This window comes from Homo sapiens, chromosome 20, assembly GCF_000001405.40.
Source record: "Homo sapiens chromosome 20, GRCh38.p14 Primary Assembly".
Lineage (NCBI taxonomy): Eukaryota > Metazoa > Chordata > Mammalia > Primates > Hominidae > Homo > Homo sapiens.
In genome coordinates this window covers 31,272,793-31,295,207 of record NC_000020.11, presented here as the reverse complement: position 1 = coordinate 31,295,207, position 22,415 = coordinate 31,272,793, and the positions used below count along the sequence as shown (strand labels likewise).

The 22,415-nt window shown below is 41.7% G+C and overlaps 2 pseudogenes; one reads left to right on the top strand and one right to left on the bottom strand.

Annotated features, from left to right (window-relative positions):
- CDK5RAP3P1 (CDK5RAP3 pseudogene 1) lies at positions 8,343-10,159 on the top strand (annotated as a pseudogene).
- Positions 20,252-21,155, bottom strand: DKKL1P1 (DKKL1 pseudogene 1; annotated as a pseudogene).

The window sequence follows — 22,415 nt, the reverse complement described above, 5'->3', positions numbered from 1 at the left end:
ATGCTGATGTGTTCTTCAGTCTGCCAATTGTATTTTTCAGCTCTAGAGTTTCTACTTATTTTAAATTATTTTATTCTCTTTATTAAATTTATCTGGTAGAATTCTGAATTTCTTCTCTGTGTTATCTTGAATTTCTTAGAGTTGCCTCAAAACAGCTATTTTGAATTCTCTGTCTGAAAGGTCACATATCTCTGTTTCTCTATGATTGGTCTGTGATGCCTTATTTAGTTCATTTGGTGAGGTCATGTTTTCCTAGATGGTGTTGATGCTTATAGAGTTCTTTGGTGTCTGGGCAGAGAAGTTAGGTATTTATTGTAGTCTTCACTGTCTGGGCTTGTTTGTACTCGTCTTTCTTGGGAAGGCTTTCCAAATATTTGAAATGACTTGGGTATTGTGATCTAAGCTCTATCTGTTTTAGGGTGCACTCCAAGCCCAGTAACACTGTGGTTCTTTCAACCTCATAAAGGTACTGCCTTGATAGTCTTAGACAAGATTTGGAAGAATTCTCTGGATTACCAGGAAGATACTCTTTTCTCTTTCTTTACTTTCTCCCAAACAAATGGAATGTCTTTGTTCTGAGCCATTTAAAGTTGTGGGGGTGTCGGGGGGAGGAAGATGAGCACCTCTGTGGCCACCACCACTCTGGCTGTGCTGGGTCAGACTTGAAGCCAGCACAGAATTGGGTCTCACCCAAGGCCTGCTGTAACCACTCCCTGGTAGTAACTCCCTATGTTCTCTCAAGGCCGTGGGACTCTATAATCAGGAGGTGGCAAAGCAAACCAGGCCTATGTCCTTCCATTCAGGATGGCAAGTATCCTCAGACCCTGAGTGGGTCCATAGGTGTCATTCAGGAGTCAGAGATTAGAGTAAAAAGCCTTAGAAGTCTACCTGGTGTTCTGTTGTACTGCAGGTGAGCCAGCACTCAAACCACAAGATGCAGTTCTTCCCACTTTTCCATCCCCTTTCCAAAGGCAGAGGAGCCTCACCCCATAGCCATCACCACCATAGGACATGGAGAGTAGTGCCAGACTACTGCCAATGTTCCTTTATGGCCAAAGAGCTCTTAAGTCAGCTTGTGGTGAATGCTGCTTGGCCTGGGAATCACCCTTCAGGGCAGTGGGCTCCCCTTTGGCCCAGGGCAGATCCAGAATTGCCATCCAAGAGCCAAGTTCTAGAATCTAGAGTGCTTGGTATTCTACTCACCTGTGGCTGAGCTGGTACCTGAAGCCAGCAAGTCTCAGAGGCCCACCCAAGGCCCTCAACATAGTACTTGGGTATCTCTGCTGGTTATTCAGCACCCAAGGGCTCTTCAGTTAGCAGGCAGTGAATCGTTCCAGGACTGGGTTTTTTCCTTCAAAGCAGTGGGTTCCCTTGTGGCCCAGGGTGTGTCAAGAAATGTCATCCTGGAGCTAGGGCCAGAAAAAGGGGCCTCACGGCTCTCACTGGCACCCTATCCTGCTGTGGCTGAGCTGATATCCAAGATGCAAGACAAAGTTCTCCCCACTTTTCCCTCATCTCTCCTCAAGGAGAAAGAATGTGTCTCTTTCAGAGCCACAAGCTGTGCAGCTTGGGGTTAGAGGAGAGGTGATACCAGCACTCTCTTAGCGGTCCCGGCTGGAGTCTCAGTCAGTTGTGTGCACCCCTAGTCTACTGTCTCTGGGCTGAGTTCAGCATTAGGACTTGCCTAAGAGTTGCAGTTCTCTGGCCTACAGTGCTTTTCAAGTTTACTTAGACATCCAGAGCACTTTAGCCCTCAGTGGCAAGGTTTGCAAGAATTCAAGTTCTGGGATGGGCAACTCCCCTCTAGCTAGGGCTGATTTAACTGCTCCCACTGTGTGTGTATATGGGAGGGAGGGGGCACCAGCTGAGTTTGGTCTGGTTTTTCTTTCTGCTCTAACAGGAAAGCATTGAGTTCAATGCCTTACAATTGCTGTGCCCTCCCTCCCCCAGCACACAAAAATGCTCTCTGTACCATGCTGCTGCTCCCAGAGGATGGGGGAGGGGTGACATCTGTGATTCAAGACTTTTTTCTGCCTCTTTGGTGCATCTTTCAGTGATATAAAATTCTGAGGGCTCACCTCATTTTTGTTTCTATTGAAGATGGTTTGTGTCTGAGTGTGTGTATGTGTGTGTGTAGATAGTTGTTAAATTGGTGTCCTTGCAGGGCGGGATGATTGGTGAAGCCTTCTTTTCTGCCATCTTGCTTCACCTTCCTCCCCAATCCTTTCTTAAGACTCCATCTCTCAATGCTGTCACATTGGGGATTAAGTTTCAACATGAGTGTTAGAAGGGACAAATATTCAAACCATAGCAATGAGTAAGGAGATTGAATCAGTAATAAAATGTGTTGCATCAAAGAAAATCCCAGGACCTGATGGCTTTACCATGGAATTCTACCAAACATTTGTTTTATTATTTAGTTATTTATTTAACTTTTATTTTAGGTTCAGGGGTACATGTGCAGATTTGTCATCTAGGTGAGTTTCGTGTCATGGGAGTTTGGTGTACAGATTGTTTCATTACCCAGGTATTAAGCCTAGTATCTGATAGGTAGTTTTGCAATCCTCATCCTCCTCCCACCCTCCGCCCTCAAGTAGGCCCCAGTGTCTGTTGTTCCCTTCTTTGTGTTCATACATACTCTATGTTTAGCTCCCACTTATAAGTGAGAACATAGGGTATTTGATTTTCTGTTCTTGCATTGGTTCACGTAAGATAATGGCCTCCAGCTCCATCCATGCTGCTGCAAAGGACATGATTTCATTCTTTTTATGGCTGCATAGTATTCCATGGTGTATATATACCACATTTTCTTTATCCAGTCTACCATTGATGGGCATTTAGGTTGATTCCATGCCTGTGCTATTGTGAATAGTGCTTCAATGAACATACATGTGGATGTGGCTTTATCGTAGAATAATTTATATTCCTTGGGGCAAATACTCGGTAATGGGATTGCTTGGTCAAATGGTAATTCTGTTTTAGGCTGTTTGAGAAATAACCACACTGCTTTCCACAATGGTTGAACTAATTTACATTCCCACCAGCAGTGCATAAGTGTTTCCTTTTCTGCTCAACCTTGCCGGCATCTGTTATTTTTTGACTTTTTAATAATAGCCATTCTGACGGGTGTGAGATGATATCTCGTTGTGGTTTTGATTTACATTTCTGTAACAATTAGTGGTGTTGGGCATTTTTTCATACGTTTGTTGGTCACATATGTGCCTTCTTTTGTGAAGTGTCTGTTCATGCCTTTGCCCAGTTTTTAATGGGGTTGTTTTTTGCTTGTTAATTTTTTTTAAGTCTTTATAGATTCTGGATGTTAGACCTTTGTCAAATGCATAGTTTACAAATATTTTCCGCCATTCTGTAGGGTGTCTGTTTACTCTGTTGATAGATTCTTTTTGCTGTGCAGAAGCTATTTAGTTTAGTTGGTTCCCATTTATTACTTTGTGTTGCAATTGCTTTTGGTGTCTTTATCATGAAATCTTTGCCAGAGTCTATGTCCAGAATGATATTTCCTAGGTTATCGTCCAGGGTTTTTATAATTTTAAGTTTTACATTTAAGTCTTTAATCCATCTTGATTTGATTTTTTTAATATGATGTAAGAAAGGGGTCCAGTTTCAATCTTCTGCATATGTCTAGTCAGTCATACCAGCACCATTTATTGAATAGGGAGTCTTTTCCCCATTGCTTGTTTTTGTATACTTTGTCAAAGATCAGATGGTTGTAGGTGTGCAGCTTTATTTCTGGGCTCTATATTCTGTTCCATTGGTCTATGTGTCTTGTTTTTGTTACTGTAGCCTTGTAGTACAGTTTGAATTCGGGTTATGTGATGCATCCAGCTTTGCTCTTTTTGCTTAGGATTGCCCTTGCTATTCAGGCTCTTTTTTCACAGGAATTTCAAAATAGTTTTCCACATGAATTTCAATATACTTTTTTCTAATTCTATGAAGAATGTCAATGGTAGTTTGATAGGAATAGCACTGAATCTGCAAATTGCTTTAGGTAGCATGGCCATTTTGACAATATTGATTTTTCATATCCATGAGCATGAAATGTTTCTCCTTTTGTTTGTGTTATCTCTGATTTCTTTGAGCAGAGATGAACATTCTTTGAATGTTTTGTCATTCTGATTGTAGAGATCTTTTACCTCCCTGGCTAGCTGTATTCCTAGGTATTTTGTTCTTTTTGTGGCTATTGTGAATGAGATTGCACTCTTGACTTGGTTCTCAGTTGGATGTTGTTGGTATATAGGAATGCTACCTATTTTTGTACATTGATTTTGTATCCTGAAACTTTGCTGAAGTTGTGTATTATATCATGGAGCTTTCGGGCAATGACTATGGGATTTTCTAGGTATAGAATAATATTGTCTGCAAACAGGGATAGTTTGACTTCTTCTGTTTCTATTTAGATCCTTTTTTTTTCTTTCTCTCACCTGATTGTTCTGGCTAGCACTTCCAGTACTATGTTGAATAGAAGTGAGAGAGGGTATCCTAGTCTTGTTCTAGATTTCAAGGTGAATGCTTCCATCTTTTGCCCATTCAGTATAATGTTGGCCGTGGGGTTGTCATAGATGGCTCTTATTATTCTGAAGTATGTGCCTCCAGTGCCTAGTTCATTGAGAGTTTTTAACATGAAAGGGTGTTGAATTTTATTGAAAGTCTTTTCTGTATCTATTGAGACAATCATGTGGTTTTTGTTTTTCATTCTTTTTATGTGGTGAATCACATTTATTTACTTGCATATACTGAACCAGGCTTGCATCCAGGGATGAAGTCTACTTGGTTATGGCAGATAAGCTTTTTGATATGCTGCTGGATTCAGTTTGCCAGCATTTTGTTGAGGATTTTTGCATCTATGTTCATCAAAGATATTGCCATGAAGTTTTCTGATTTTGTTCTGTCTCTCAAAGGTTCTGGGGTCCTGCATGTGTATTGCAGTTTTGATGATGTGGTGTCAGGCAGCTTAGGGATTTTACCCTCAGGTTTGTATCATGTCAGGATCTCTTACTGGCTTTGTACTTCTAAGATCAAATTAAGAATGTGATGCTTTTGGTTGGTAGAGTGGTAGAGAGGATTGGCATAGAACAATTTAGGGTTAGCAATGTCATTGAGATGAAAGATTTGGATACAGGTTAGGTGTGAGAAATTGAGTTCAAGTTGAACATTTATAGGATGAATCAAGGGGCTATTTGGAGATTGGGTAGTGAATTGTAGTACAAAAAGGATGGGACCTTTGTGTTGGTGTAATGATAGAAACAATAAACAATGATGAGATGGAAGTGAGGATCATATTTATAAAATTAGGCTGGGGCAGTGGTTTGGGATAGGCTGGGTTAAGAATTGTATTTGTGGATGAATGTATCCAGCAGTGAAATTGGGTGAAACTGAGAATTGGAGTAGAGGACATTTGTGGATGAGCTGGTTGTTGGGTTGAAGCTGGGTGTTGGTGTTGGATGGCTTGACTAGTGTTGTGTTTGTCTTGGGATTGGGGCTTGAGTGGGCATAACATGGAGGTAGAACTGGGATTGGCATTTGGTTTTGTCAGATGTTTGGTGCAAAAAGAATGAATGTTGGGTTGTTATGAGCAGAATTTGGGTTAGTCTGGGATGAGGGCTGGCTAGAGTTTAATAAAACACCTGAGTGCACCACAGCAAGGGTCTTATGGAATGGCAACTAATTAGCCTTGAATAAAATATATCTAGTGTGTCCTTTCACATTCTTCAAAAACTCCCTTGAGTGTGACTTTCATTGACCATAAACAGCCCTAAATGTAGGAGAAGGCAGTGCAGGTAAATGAAATCAGGGGGCTAGAATGTTTCCAGATGCACACACACACACACACACACACAAACACACTCTCTACAAAAAGGAAATAAGAAACATAGGAGGAACATTAACTAGACATACAGACATATGGACAACCAACCAAAGTTATTTCTCCTTTCTTGGGAGTGAGTTCAGTTATGATGTCTAGCCTTTTGCCTTCTTCCTCCCCTTGCTTCTACTTCTACTGCTCCATAATCCCTTCCTTTTACTCTCCTCACTTTTTCTCTTACACTCCATCCTCCAAAACCCTTTTCCTTTTACCTTTTTTCTTGAGGTATCCTTGTTCCCATATTCAGTAAAACATAGGAATAGTAATCATCACTGCAAATGAATTTACAATAAAATGAAGACAGAACTTTATGTTTCAAGGGTTATAAAAAGTTCTCCTTCCTTAATGATTTTTAACATGTGTCCAGCTGGAATAATTCAGGGCCAGGAACTATTTTGAACAATCTCTTCTAATAAGAAAGTCACTCATTCTTTTCTTTTACCATCTCAAGCATACACATATGAGATTTATCTACTTACATTTTCATATAAGTCTCTGTATCCCTGTTAAGCTGAGTGTTTTATTTACTTTATTTGTAAATGTCTATTAAATAAATTAATATATAAATGATTTATGACTAAATAAATATAGTATGCCATAAGCAGATATAAATGAGACGGAAAGATCTTTGAAGTTTGAGGAGAACACAATTTGGGGTTCCCAGTTGGCAGAAGATAAATGTATCAGGTGTACTTAGATATATTTTTAAGAGCTCTGGATGGAACTATTAAAAAAGTACATGCATAAGTTATTGATGGTGGTTGTAGGTGTTACTTGATTTATGATGTTAAGCCATGGACTATATTGTGAGGGAAGACAGTCTGGGTGATACATAAATGTGAGAGTTAGAAGGTCATGATTGGGAATAGTTGAGGAATTAATATCAAGCGGGGGCTTATGATAGTGGTGAGGGGGACACTCATGCAAGATACCATTCCCTGGGCCCCTATCCAGGCCTACTGAATTTCTAGAGAAGAAGATTTAGTGTGAGAATTTAAAATAATTTCCTCAAATTATTTTAGTATGTTCTTGCCTCTAAAACTTCCTTCTCTATACACACTTGATATCTGATGCCCATATCTGAAACTCCTCTAAGTCCATTTCTGAGATAGAAAAGCTAGTTTCAGAGAGTTGAGACACAAAATCATTGTTAAAGTACATGCTGGGATGTGAAAGCAGGTCTCCTCTGTCTTCTGGTCTGAAGAGGGAGAGATTTCAAAGGTGACATTAATTTGACATGGGAGATACAATGCACAATGATTCAGGACAATATGAAGCCATGGAAGCTGTTCAAGAGAGAAGAGTAGCAAAGGTCTTTTATGAAACTTTTGGGTGCCACTATAGAAGGCTTCCTCCCAAGGCTGTCTTGGGCTACTCCACATGTGGAGAGACTGAAGAAAATGCATTATTTCTCCCTTATTCTTATTGTATATGTTCCTACTCCTCTCTCTGGTGACTAAAAACAGGAAGTGTTCCATCTGGTATGTTTGGGTGAGAGGAAAATTCTCCAGATCTAGTGTTATCCAGAAAAGTGTGGATGCCACCCTGGGGAAACCCCCTGCAGATATTCTCATCCTACTGTAAGTAGGATGGTGCCAGGAGAGACATCATGATGAGGGTTTTGAGGTAAAAAAAGATTGAGGTAAAAAAGACAGTGATACTATGATGCTGAAGCATGGATGAATGAGTGCCATTTTCATCCCCCTTCCTCTGGTTGACCAGCAAGGTGTCTGATGTAGCAGCAGTTGAGTACTTTCTCTGTATTTCTGTGGTAGTTTGAATGTACCACAGCATGCAAATGTCATTTACTTCACTTCTTTCCTTTTCTATCTTCCTGCTTCATCCATGCTTAAAGGAGAAAGGACGGACATTCCTTATAAAGAAAATCACAATCAAGAGTGGTACAGTTTACAGGTTCTTTGGACTCATTTTTATCAGTGTGGTAGGCATTGGAGACCTCTGTGTTCCTAGCCTGGTACAGAGTATGAAATGATAAACTGGTGTGGAATGAGGGGATGGATGGATTGTAGTAGCCTAAGCTGAAATACAGGCTAGAGAGTGTAGGTTTTATATTGAAGGCACTGGAAACTTCTTGTGTCCATTATTCAAGAAGATACCAGCCTCTCCAAGAAATTGTATTAGAAAGGTAAGCAATGTGACCGACAGGATAGAATATGTGTTATGAGTCATGTATGTTGATTTTATATCTGCAACTTGGTTGAATTTGTTTATTAGTTCTAGCATTTATTTTAGTGTGGAATATTTACAAATAAGATCATGTTGCCAAGACATGGAACCAATCCAAATGCCCATCAATGACAGACTAAAGAAAATGTGGTACATGTACACCATGGAATACTATGCAGCCATAAAAAGGAATGAGATCACATCCTTTGCAGGGACATGGATGAAGCTGGAAGCCATCATCCTCAGCAAACTAACACAGAAATAGAAAACTAGATCTCTGGCCTGAAGTGGAAGTGGAGGAAAGATGGAGGACCATCAGCACATGCCCATCGACATCCAGACCAGCAAGCTGCTCGATTGGCTTGTGGACAGAAGGTACTGCAGCCTGAAATGGCAGAGTCTGGTGCTGACGATCTGAGAGAAGATCAGTGCTGCCATCCAGGACATGCCAGAGAGCGAAGAGATCGCCCAGCTGCTGTCTGGATCCTACATTCACTACTTTCACTGCCTAAGAATCCTGGACCTTTTCAAAGGCACAGAGGCCTCCACGAAAAATATTTTTGGCTGATACTCTTCACAGTGGATGAAGGAATGGCAGGAGATTATAGCCCTGTATGAGAAGGACAACACCTACTTAGTGGAACTCTCTAGCCTCCTGGTTTGGAATGTCAACTATGAGATCCCCTCACTGAAGAAGCAGATTGCCAAGTGCCAGCAGCTGCAGCAAGAATACAGCTGCAAGGAGGAGGAGTGCCAGGCAGGGGCTGCTGAGATGGGGGAGCAGTTCTACCACTCCTGCAAGCAGTATGGCATCATGGGCGAAAATACCCGAGGAGAACTGCTGGCCCTGGTGAAGGACCTGCCAAGTCAGCTGGCTGAGACTGGGGCAGCGGCGCAGCAGTCCCTGGGGGAAGCCATCGAAGTGTACCAGGCCTCTGTGGGGTTTGTGTGTGATAGCCCCACAGAGCAGGTGTTGCCAATGCTGTGGTTCGTGCAGAAGCGGGGAAACTCAACGGTGTACGAGTGGAGGACAGGGACAGAGCCCTCTGTCGTGGAGCGACCCCACCTCGAGGAGCTTCCTGAGCAGGTGGCAGAAGACGCGATTGACTGGGGCGACTTTGGGGTAGAGGCAGTGTCTGGGGGGACTGACGCTGGCATCTCTGCCGAGGCTGCTGGAATCGACTGGGGCATCTTCCCGGAATCAGACTCAAAGGACCTTGGAGATGATGGGATAGACTAGGGAGACGATGCTGTTGCTTTGCAGATCACAGTGGTGGAAGCAGGAATCCAGGCTCCAGAAGGTGTTGCCAGGGGCCCAGATGCTCTGACACTTCTTGAATACACTGAGACCCAGAATCAGTTCCTTGATGAGCTCATGGAACTTGAGATCTTCTTAGCCCAGAGAGCAGTGGAGTTGAGTGAGAAGGCAGATGTCCTGTCTGTGAGCCAGTTCCAGCTGGCTCCAGTCATCCTGCAGGGCCAGACCAAAGAGAAGATGGTTATCATGGTGTCAGTGTTGGAAGATCTGATTGGCAAACTTACCAGTCTTCAACTGCAACACCTGTTTATGAACCTGGCCTCACCAAGGTATGTGGACCGAGTGACTGAATTCCTCCAGCAAAACCTGAAGCAGTCCCAGCTGCTGGCTTTGAAGAAAGAGCTGATGGTGCAGAAGCAGCAGGAGGCACTTGAGGAGCAGGAGGCTCTGGAGCCTAAGCTGGACCTGCTGCTGGAGAAGACCAAGGAGCTGCAGAAGCTGATTGAAGCTGACATCTCCAAGAGGTACAGCGGGCGCCCTGTGAACCTGATGGGAACCTCTCTGTGACACCCTCCGTGTTCTTGTCTGCCCATCTTCTCAGCAATTGGGATGAAGATGACAGCCAGGGCTGATGTTTTGGGGCCCTTCAAGGCAAAAGACCAGGCCGACTGGAAGACGGAAAGCCACAGGAAGGAAGCGGCACCTGATGGTGATCTTGGCACTCTCCATGTTCTCTACAAGAAGCTGTGGTGATTGGCCCTGTGGCCTGTCAGGTGAAAACCACAGCTTCTCCTTCTAGTTAGTATAGCGGACTTAATAAAAGAGGAAAAAACAAACAAACAAAAATAGAAACAGAAAACCAAACACTGCAAGTTCTCACTTATAAGTGGGACCTGAACAATGAGAACACATGGACACAGGGAGGGGAACAACACACAGTGGGGCCTTTTGGAGCGGGGAGAAAAGAAGGAGAGCATCAGGACAAATAGCTAATGCATGCCAGGCTTAAAATCTAGGTGACTGGTTGGTAGGTGCAGCAAACCACCATGACACGCATATACATACTTATGTAAGAAACCTGCATGTTCTGCACATGCACATGTATCCCGGAACTTAAAGTAAAAAAAAAAAGAAAAGAAAAGAAAAGAAAAAGATCATGTTGCCTGTGAATAGAGATAATTCTACTTCTTCTTTCCAGTTTGGATGCCTTCTATTTATTTTTCTTGCCAAATTGCTATGGTCAGGACTTCTAGTACTATGTTGGAATAGAACATAGTAGACTAGAAGTGGTGAAAGTGAGGATGCTTATCTTGTTCCTGATCTTAGAGAAAAAGCTTTCAGATTTTCATCATTGAGTATGATATTATCTGTGGAACTTTTATATATTACTTTTATTATGTTGAGGCAAATTCCTTTCATTCCTAGTTTATTGGATGCTTTTATCATAAAAGGTTGTTGAATTTTCAAATGGCTTATCTGCAATTTAGATAATCATGTGTTTTTTCCCCATAATTCTATTTCCCCTTAATGTGGTATATTATACTGATTGATTTTCAAATGTTGAACAATTCTTGTATTTAAGGAAAAAAATCCCATTTGATCATGATGTATAATCATTTTAAATTGCTCTTTAATTCTGTTTGCCAGTTTTTAAAATGGATTTTTGCATCAATATATGTCAGTGATAGTGGTTTATAGTTTTATTTTCTTGTAGTGTCTGTGTCTGTGTCTGTCTTTGGTGTAAGTGCAATGTTGGCCTTGTAAAATAAGTTTGGAAGCACTTCCTCCTCTTCAGGTTTTTGGAAGAGTTCGAGGAGGATTAACGTTAATTCTTTAAATGTTTGGTAGAACTCACCAGTGAAGTAAGTTGATCCTAGACTTTTGTTGTTGTTTTTGGTAGGTTTTTGATATCTGATTCAATCTCTTTACTTATTAAAGGTCTGTTCAGATTTTCTATTTCTTCCTAATTCAGTCTTGGCAGGTTAGGGGTTTCTAGGAATTTATCAATTTTATCTAGGTTATCCGATCTGTTGGCATACAATTGTTCATATAGTAGTCTCTTATAATCCTTTTCACTTCTATAAAAGTGGTAGTAATATCCCCTTATTCATTTCTAATTTTAGTTATTTGAGCATTCTTATTTTTTCCTTTTAGTCTACATAAGATTTTTTGATTTTATTGAACTTCTTTATAAATGTTTTTAAAACGTTCATTTTAGGTTCAGGGGTACTTGTGCAGGTTTGTTATATAGGTAAACTCCTGTTACAGGGGTGTGTCATACAGATTATTTCATCACCTAGGTACTAAGCCCAGTTATTTTTTCTGCTTCTTTCCCTCCTCCTGCCCTCCACCCTCAGATAGGCCCCAGTGTTTGTTGTTCCTTTCTTTGTGTCTGTGTGTTCTCATCATTTGGCTCCCACTTGTAAGTGAGAACATGCAGTATTTGGTTTGCTGTTCCTGCGTTGGTTTGCTAAGAATAATGGCCTCCAGCACCATGTTCCTGCAAAGGACATGATATAATTCTTCTTTATGGCTGCATAATATTCACATTTTCTTTATCCAGTGTACCACTGATGGGCAGTTAGGTTGATTCCATAGCTTGGCCATTGTGAATAGTTCTGCAATAAGCATACACGTTCCTGTGTCTTTATGATAGAATGATTTATATCCCTTTGGGTGTATACCCAGCAGTGGGATTGCTGGGTTGAATGGTAGTTATTTTTTTAGCTCTTTGAGAAATAACCACACCACTTTCCACAATGGTTGAACTAATTTACACTCCCTCCAATAGTATATAACTATTCTATTTTCTCTGCACATCTGTTATTTTTTGACTTTTTAGTAACAGCCATTCTGACTGGTGTGAGATGGTATCTCATTGTGGTTTTGATGTACATTTCTCTAATGATTAGTGATATTGAGCTTTTTTTCATGTGCTTATTGGCAACATGTGTGTCTTCTTTTGAAAAGTGCTGTTCATGTCCTTTGCCCACTTTTTAATGGGGTAGTTTTTTTCTTGAAAATTTGTTTACATTCCTTATAGATGCTGGATATTAGACTTGCGTCAGGTGCGTAGTTTGCAAAATTTTTCTCCTATTCTGTAGGTATATTAATCTGTTCTCACATTGCTATAAAGAAATAACTGAGACTGGGTACTTTAAAGGAAAAGAATTTAAATTGGCTCATGGTTCCATAAGCTGTACAAGAAGCATTGAGGCTTCTGCTTCTGGGGAGGCCTCAGGAAGCTTTCAATCATGGTGGAAGGCAAAGGGGGAGCAAGGCATCTCACATGATGGGAGCAGGAGCAAGAGAGAGAGAACAAGTGGGGAAAGGTGCCACACACTTTTAAACAACCAGAGCTCATGAGAACATCAAGGGGATGGTGCAAAACCATCTTGAAGGATCCACCCCCATGATCCTATCATCTGCCATCAGGCACCACCTCCAACATTGGGGATTAAAATTGAACATGAGATTTGGATGGCGACACAGATCCAAAACATGTCAGTAAGTTGTCTGTTTACTCTGTTGATAGTTTCTTTTGCTGTGTAGAAGCGCTTTAGTTTAATTAGATCCATTTGTCAATTTTTGCTTTTGTTGCAATTGCTTTTGGCATCTTCTTCATGAAATCTTTGCTGATTCTTATGTCCAGAATGGTATTGCCTAGGTTGTCATCCAGGGTTTTTATAGTTTGGGGTTTTACATTTAAGTCTATAATCCATCTTGAGTTGATTTTTGCATATGGTATAAGGAAAGGGTCCAGTTTCAATCTTCGGCATATGGCTAGCTAATTATCTTAGTACCATTTATTGAATAGGGAGTCCTTTCCCCATTGCTTGTTTTTGTCAGCTTTGTCGAAGATCAGATGGTTGTAGGTGTGTGGCCTTATTTCTGGCCTCTCTGTTCTGTTGCATTGGTCTATGTATCCGTTTTTGTACTAGTACCATGATGTTTTGGTTACTGTAGCCCTGTGGAATAATTTGAATTTGAGTAGCATGATGCCTCTTGTTTTGTTCTTTTTGCTTAGGATTGCTTTGGCTATTGGGGCTTTTTGTTCCACATGAATTTTAAAATAGTATGTTTTTCTAATTCTGTGAAGAATGTCATTGGTAGCTTGATAGGAATAGCATTGAATCTGTAAATTGCTTTGGGCAAGAATGGCCATTTTAATGATATTGATTCTTTCTATCTATGAGCATGAAATGCTTTCCATTTGTTTGTGTCCTCTCTGGTTTCTTTGAGTAACAGTGTTTTGTAATTCTCATTGTAGAGATCTTTCACCTCCATGGTTAGCTGTATTCTTAGGTATTTTATTCTTTTTGTGGCAATTGTAAATGGAATTGTGTTCCTGATGTGGCTTCCACCTGGCTGTTGTTAGTATATAAGAATGTTAGTGATTTTTGTATGTTGATTTTGTATCTTGAAACTCTGCTGAAGTTGTGTATCAGCTTAAGAATCTTTTGGGCCGAGACTAGGGGGTTTTCTAGATACAGAATCATGTTATCTGCAAACAGGAATAGTTTGACTTCCTCTCTTCCTATTTGGATGCCCTTTATTTTTTTCTCTGGTTCAATTCCTCTGGATAGGACTTCCAGTAATATGTTGAATAGCAGTAGTGACAGAGAGCATACTTGTCCTTTCCTTTTTCAAGGTAAATGTTTCCAGCTTTTGCCCATTCAGTGTGATGTTGGCTGTAGGTTTGTCATAGATAGCTCTTATTTTGAGGTATGTTCCTCTGTACCTATTTTTTTCAGTTTTTAAAATGAAGGGATGTTAAATTTTATCAAAAGCCTTTTCTGCTTTGATCATCACCACCTATTGAGATGATCATGTGGTTTTTGTTTTTGGTTCTGTTTATGTGATGAATCATGTTTATTAATTTGCATATGTTGAACCAAGCTTGCATCCCAGGGATAAAGCTTATTTGACCATGGTGTGTAAGCTTTTTGATGTGCTGCTGGATTTGGCTTGCCAGTATTTTGTTGAGGATTTTTGCATCAATATTCATCAAGGATATTGGCCTGAAGTTTTATTTTTTTATTGTATCTCTGCTAGCTTTTAGTATCAGGATGATGCTGGCCTCATAGTATAAGTTGAAGAGGAGTCCCTTCTCCTCAATTTTTTTTTGTAATACTTTCAGTAGGAATGGTACCAGCTCTTCTTTATATACCTGGTAGAATTCTGCTGTGAATCTGTCTAATCATGGGCTTTTTTTTGGTTGGAAGGCTATTTACTACTGATTCAATTTCGGAGTTCATTATTGGTCTGTTTGGGGATTCAATTTCTTCCTGATTCAATCTTGGGAGGGTGTGTGTGTCCAGGAATTTATCCATTTCTTCTAGATTCTCAACCTAGACTTTCTAGTTTGTGTGTATAAACAAGGTCATAGTAGCCTCTGACAGTTGTATTTCTGTGGGGTCAATGGTAATATTCTCTTTGTTGTTTCCAATTGTGTTTATTTGGATCGTCTCTCTTCTTTGTTAGTCTAGATAATGGCCTATCTTATGAATTTTTTCAAAAAACCAACTCCTGGGTTCATTGATATTTTGGATTTTTTAAAATGTGTTTTCAATCATGGCCAGGTTGGGGCCCTGGGAGAGGCCAGCAGACTGAGAGTTGCTCAGGTCAAACAGGTCCCATCTCATGGGCAAGAATGCCCTACAGTGTTTAGGTCCAAAAGTTCCCCTAGGGCTAAAGTCTCATATGGGAGCAAGTCGAGCCTAGGAGGATGGGTGTCCCTTGTCATGCTCCATTACAGATACTCCTGCACCAAACCCTCTGGGCTCCACACCGGCTGAAGTTCTGCCTCTACCACTTCTCTAAGCAGCTCTCCTTGCCAGCACAAGTGTCTGTGGTGGTTGAGGGGTCTCCTGCTGGGATTCCAGAGGCCTGTGGCGAGAGGCTCCTTGCCTGTTTAACTCACCCCTTCCACAGGATTTGTTGGGGGCCAGGAACGAGTTCAGAAGTGCAGTAGCCCCGTGCAGGGTTCTCAGCTCCCTTTCCATTCAGCCTAGCATCTGCGTCTTTCCTCTGTCTGCTTTAATGCCTTCCGCCTGCAGAGCTGCTAGGAGTGCACCAGTCTTCCCGATGTCCTGGTACCTCGGTGGGATATGTTCCTCCTGGCTGCATCCGGTTGGCCATCTTGTAGCAGGAGTCTTAAAGTTTTGAAACACCAACTCTTTGTTTTATTGGTCTTATCTGTCATTTTCCTGTTTTCTATGCTTATCTTTATTCTAATATTTATTATTTTCTTCCTTCCATTAGACTTGGGTTTAGTTTGTGTACTTTTAATCTTTAAGGTATAAAGTTAGGTTATTGATTTGAGATCTTTCATTTTCTTAATGTAAAACTTTATACAATAAGTTTGCCTCTTAGTATTGCTTTGATGAATCATATAAATTTTGGTGTGCTGTGTTTTCATTTTAATTTGTCTCAAGATATTTTCCAATGTTCTTTGTGGTTTCTTTTCTTTTTTCTTTTTTTTTTTTTGAGATGGAGTCTCGCTCTGTCCCCCAGGCTGGAGTGCAGTGGCGCGATCTCGGCTCACTGCAAGCTCCGCCTCCCGGGTTCACGCCATTCTCCTGACTCAGCCTCCCGAGTAGCTGGGACTACAGGTGCCCGCCACTGCACTCGGCTAATTTTTTGTATTTTTAGTAGAGACGGGGTTTCACCGTGTTAGCCAGGATGGTCTCGATCTCCTCACCTCGTGATCTGCCCACCTCGGCCTCCCAAAGTGCTGGGATTACAGGTGTGAGCCACCGCACCCAGCCATCTTTGTGGTTTCTTCTTTGACCACTGGTTGCTTATGAATATGTTTTTGGGACTGACATCAACAAGATGGTAAAACAGAACATTGCAGTGCTCATCCCACTGTGGAAACATCAATTTGAACAATTATTCACATACAAAAATAGCTTTAAAGGAGCCAAGGAAACCAGGTGAGAGACTACAGCACCTGGGCAGCCCAGAAATAAGAAAATATGCATTGAAGAAAGTAAGAAGAATCATTTTACATTACCCACCTCATCCCTCTCCCAGTCCCAGGCAGAACACCTAGAAGAGATGTATCTTCTGCTTGGGGGAAGGAGAGGAAAGTAAGCACAAGCCTTTGCCTTGAACCCCAACACCAGGCCCACCTCAATAAAACCCAGTGCAGGGCAGGCCCCTACAGACCCGGACTCCTGGCCGGTACCTGTAGACTAAGCCTCCAGTTCTTTCCCAGCACCACATGGAATCCCACAGCCCCTGCAGACTTGGTCTCCAGGCCTTCCCACTACTAGGCTGACCCCAGCAGTGCAAGCTCCAGGCCAACCCCAGTGCTGGGCTAACTTAATGACCCTGAGCATCAGACCTGCCTCAGTGACTGGACAGCTCCCATAGACTGAAGCTCCAGGTTGGTGCTTGCAGTCCCAGACTCCAAGAATGCCCAGTGGACTTGGTCACCCCAGTACCAGGATGACCCCAGCAGACCAGACTCTGTACTTCCCATAACACTGGGCTGGCCCCCACTGCCCCAGGCTTCATAATTGCCCCAGCACCAGGCTAGCCCCAGCAGCCCTACTCATCAGATCGGTCCCTGTGGATACAGGCTCAAGGCCTACCCAGTGACAGGTCAGCTCCTGCAGCCCCAGACTCCAGGACTGTCCCAGGTTTCAGACCAACCCTGAGCAAGATTGGCCCACACACTCCCAGGCTTTGGGCCCATCCTGGTGCTGGACTGGAAACCCTGGCCTCAGGCACCAGACCAGTAAACATGGACACTGTCCTCAGGCCTGCCGAGTGACAGGCCTGTCTCTGTGGCCCCACACATACTCCTAACTAGCCTCTGTGGCCCACACTCCAGCAGACCCAAGGTCTAGTTCGGGTCTGCCCAGTAGACCTCAGTAGCAGGCTGGCCCCTGTGGACTGAGGCTGCAAGTTCACCCCTGTAGATCTAGGACCCAGACCCTATCTTAGTTTGTGCTGCTAAGATAAAATACTGCAGACTGGGTAATTTATATACAAAAGAAATTTATTTATCATGGTCTGGAGGCTGGGAAATTCAAGATCAAGGCATTGGCTAATTTGGGGTCTAGAGAGGGCTGCTGTCTGCTTTCAAGATGATCCCTCAGTGCTATGTCCTCTGCAGGGGAGAAATACTGTACCCTCACATGCCAGAAGAAACCAAAGGGCAAGAGAGAATTCTCTTCAGTCACAAACACCTTTATAAGGTTGCTAATCCCATTCATGAGGGCTCCACCCTCATGACTTAATAATCTCTCAAAGGTGGCACCCCTTAATCCTATAGCATTGGGTGTTAAGTTTTAACATAAATCTTGGAGGGGACACCATCATTGAAACCACAGCAGGCCAACCCTACTGAACTCAGGCCCCACGCCCATCCCAGTGGACCCATGTGACTGGCCCATCACAGAAAGTGGCTGGCTCCTGCAGACCCAGGCTCAAGGCCCACCCCAGTACTAGATCAACCCCCTCGGACTTAGGCTTCAGGCCAGCCCCATGGATACAGACTCCAGTCTCAGCCTTGGGGACCCAGGCTCCAGGCCCACCTCCATGAACGCAATCAACAAGTCTATCCCACTGGATCCAGGCTCCAGGCCCAACCCTGTGGGTCCATGTGCCAGGCCCTTTGATACGCTGACCCAGACACCAACCCAGCTTGCCTGAGGAATTCAATGCAAGCCCATTCACGGACCATGCCAGACACCATGCTTAGAATGTCTTGTATATAGACATTAACATAAGGAACATCAGGAAACATGAAAAACCAAGGAGATATACATAACGCCACCAAAAAAAAAACAAAACAAAAAACAAAAAACAACACAGTAATCTTCCAATAGCTGACCCCAAATAACTGCAGATATACAAAATGCCTCACAAAGAATTTATAATTATTTATAAATTATTGTTTTAGGGAAGCTCAGTGAACTTTAAGAAAATAAAGAGAAACATTTGGGTGGTATCAGAAAACCATTAAATGACCAAAATTAGAAATTTAACAGAGAAATTGAAATTATTTTAAAAATCAAATAGAAATTACTTAAAAAATCAACTAGAAATATATGCAATGAACAAATGCAACAGAGAGCATCAACAGGAAAATTGATCAAAGAGAAAAAAGAATCTGTGGAGTCAAAGACAGATTATATCAAAATATATAGGCAGAGGAGAAAAATGAAAAAAGAATAAGAAAGGAATGAAGAAAGCTAATGGGATTTATAGGACAACATCAAAAGAACAAATATTGAAGCTATAGAATATCAATAAGGGGAAGAAAGCATCAAAGGGGTAATCTTCTTATTTAAAGAAATGGTAGAACATTGCAGAAAAAGAAAACTACAGGTCAATATTTCTTATGAACATTGATGCAAACATCCTCAACAAAATACTAGAAATATGAATTCAGCAGCACATTAAAAGTATTATTTACCATGACCAAATGAGATTTTTTTCCAAGAATGCAAGAGTGGCTTAATATGTGCAAATCAATAAATGTGATATGCCACATTAAAAATGTGCAGAACACAAACCATAAGATCATCTTAATAGAGGCAGAGAAAGCATTTGATAAAATTAATCATCCTTTCTGATTAAAAACTGTCAACAAACTAGGTGTAGAAGGAATGTACCTCAACACAATAAAGGCTTTATATGATAAACCACAGCTTACGTCATACTGAATGGTGAAAAGTTGAATACTTTTCCTCTAAGATCGAGAACAAAACAAGAATGCCCGTTCTTGCCACTTCTATCCACTATAGTCCTGAAAGTCCTAGCCAGAGCAGTTAGGCTAGAAAAGGAGATAAGAAGCATCCAAAGCAGAAAGAAAGAAGTAAAATGGTCACTGTTTGCATATGATATGATCTTATATACAGAAAACTCTAAAGACTACACACAAAAATTACAAGTAATAAACAAATTTATTAAAGTGGCAGGATACAAAATCAACATACACAAATCCGTAGTGTTTCTACACCTTAACAACAAACTTTGCAGAAAAAAACTACCCCATTCACAATAGGTACAAAAAATAAAATTCTTAAGAATAAGTTTAATCAAGGAGGTGAAAGATTTGTACACTAAAAACTATAAAACATTGATAAAATAAATTGAAGAAGACACAAATAAATGAAAAGATATCTGTGTTTATGAATTGGAAGATTTAATATTGTTAAAATTTTTATACTATCCAAAGTGATCTACAGATTCAATGCAATCCCTATCAAAATTCCAGTGATGTTTTTCCCAGAAATAGAAAAAACAATTTAAATAGAAAAAAACAATTAAATATTCAGGGTCAAGAAAACCTGAATAGCCAAAGCAGACTTGAGCAAAAAGATCAAAGCCAGAGGCATATACTACCAGACTTCAAAATATATTACAAAGCTGTAATAATCATAATAGCATGATACTGGCATAAAAATAGACACATAGAACAATAGCACAGAATTAAGAGCCCAGAAAGAAACTTACACATTTAAGGTTAATTTATTTTTGATAAAGATACAAAGAGCACACAATAAGTAAAGGAAGTCTGTTGTTGGGAGAAGTGGACATGCACATACAGAAGAATGAAAGTAGACCCTCATCTCACACCATATTCAAAATCAACTCAAAATGGATTAAAAACTTAAATATGAGACCTGAAGCTAAAACAATCAGAAGAAATCATAGGGGAAAAACTTCATGACCTTGGTAAGGAAATGATTTTTTGATACGACCTCAAAGTATAAGCAACAAAAGCAAAAATAGACAAATGGGATTATGTAAAACTAAAAAGCTTCTATACTTTTCCCCCCCCACTGTCTAAAGGAGATACTACTTAATTATATAAAACGCAGGTAATAAAATACATTTCTGTCTTTCTAATCAGGCAGTGAGGCATAAACTGTTTGGGCAATTTTTTAATTTTAAAAATTTTTTTAGATGTAAGAAAAGAACTTTATTTCCATATGCTGCTTGGGGCGGGGCCTGATGGGGGCTACAGACAGGTGCTCCCCGGTCCCAACCCCTATAGCTGCCAGGAAAGCCTGAAGATGTACAGTAAGTGGGTCTTTCGGAGGACAGCCCGGAGTGGGAGGAGCCCTGGGTCCCCTCTTTTAGGACGTCCTCGCGGGTCCCCTCGTGGAGCCCATCCTGGATGGCCTGCAGGCGGTGTCGCTTCTCACTGAGCCAGCGGCCGCCCTCCAGGACATTGTGGTGGGACCTCCACCGTGGCAGCTTCATGATCCAGAAGGCCACCCGGGGATGGAGCTCTGCATGGAAGTTGTCCATAGCCTTCCGGATGGACACCAGGGCCGCCGCCTACTCCATCCTGGGTACCTTCCAGTTACCCTCGAAGCTCCCCTCCGCCGGCTGGATGGATGCCACCACCTTCTCGGAGATCAGCACCTCTCCTGTCTTATTGTCGGTCACCTTGTCAATATGGAGGTGGCTGGAGAGGGTGTTGTTCCTCAGCTGGTGCTCCTCGTTCTCCTCTTGTTGGTAGTTCCTAGGGAGGCCCCGGAAGTCCATGGGGGCAGAGAAGAAGCTGTCTATGCCCCGAAGCAGGTCATCTTTCAGGAAAAGTCGGCTGAAGCCTTGGAGTAGGCTCTGGAGGCCTGTAAGACCCAAGGAGCTCTCTTGGGCATGAGCATCGTGGATAGAGGCTGCAGTGAAGGAGGTCACCAGGGCAGAGAGGAGCAGCAGCAGGACCAGCGGATGCCGCATTGCGGGGGGAGTGAGGGAGGTTTCTTCCACCCCACGCCCCTTCTTCTGGGCTCCGCCTTTATGCTAGACAACAGCCTGGTCACTGCACTCCAGGACTCTGGCCGCCCACGGACTGTTTGGCACAGTCTCAGCTCACTGGAACCCCCACCACCCGGGTTCAAGCAATTCTCCTGCCTCAGCCTCCCGAGTAGCTGGGATTACAGGTGTGCACCACCACACCTGGCTAATTTTTGTATTTTTAGTAGAAACGGGGTTTCACCATGTTGGCCAGGCTGGTCTCGAACTCCTGACCTCAAGTGATCCACCTGCCTCAGCCTCCCAAAGTGCTGGGATTACAGGCATGAGCCACTCTGGTGCCATCTGCTGTTATGCTAATGAGGATTTTCTTACATGTGACTTGACACTTTTCCTATGTTTAGAATTCTTTGTCTTTAACTTTTGACAATTTGACTATAATCTGCCTCAGAGAGGACATTTATGGATTGACTGTGTTTAGGGATCGTTGAGTTTCCTGTGTCTGGATGTCTATATCTCTGGCAAGAATTGGGAAGTTTTCAGCTAATATTTCATTAAATACATTTTCTTTGACTTTTCCTCTCTTCTGGAACTTTTAAAATTTGAATTTTTTTTTTTTTGCTTTGGTATCTTATATGTCTTCTTTCTTTTTTTCTTTTCTTCCTTTTTTTTTCATCTCACTGGGTTACTTCAAAAGCTCAGTTTTCAAGTTCAGAAAGATTCTTCTGCTTAATCTAGTTTATATTAGAAGCTCTACATTGTATTTTTGCTTTTATTCATTGTGTTATTCAGTTCCAGGATTTCTGTTTGCTTCTTCTTTTTATGATATGCATCTCTTTGTTGAATTTCTCATTCAGATAGTGAATTGTTTTCTTGATTTGTAATGTTTATCTGTGTTCTCTTGTATCTCTGTGTTTCCTTACAATCATTATTTTGAATTACTTTCCAGGCATTTCATAGATTTCTTTTTATGGGGAGGTCTATTACTGAAGAATTATTTTGTTCATTTGGAGGTGTTGTCTTTGCTTGCTTTTTCATGTTTCTTGTGTCCTTACATTGATATCTGTACATATGGTGTAACTGACATTTCTTTCAATTTTATGGAGTAACTTTTGTAAGGAAAAACATTTCCCTGTAGAAGTATCTATAATGTAAGTTGGGTAGGGTGCTTTGGCTTTGATTTTGGGTGGACACTGTAGTGTGGTCTCCATATGATTACTTTGGCTGTCATTAACATTAGTGATGTCTGCGAACTCCTTAGCATCTTAGGGTGTAGTTATTTGTGGAAGCTGTGGTGAGGCTTTGGCAGTTTCAGATGTGCTGGATGGGCTGGTTCATAGGCCCCTATGTTGAATGTGCAGG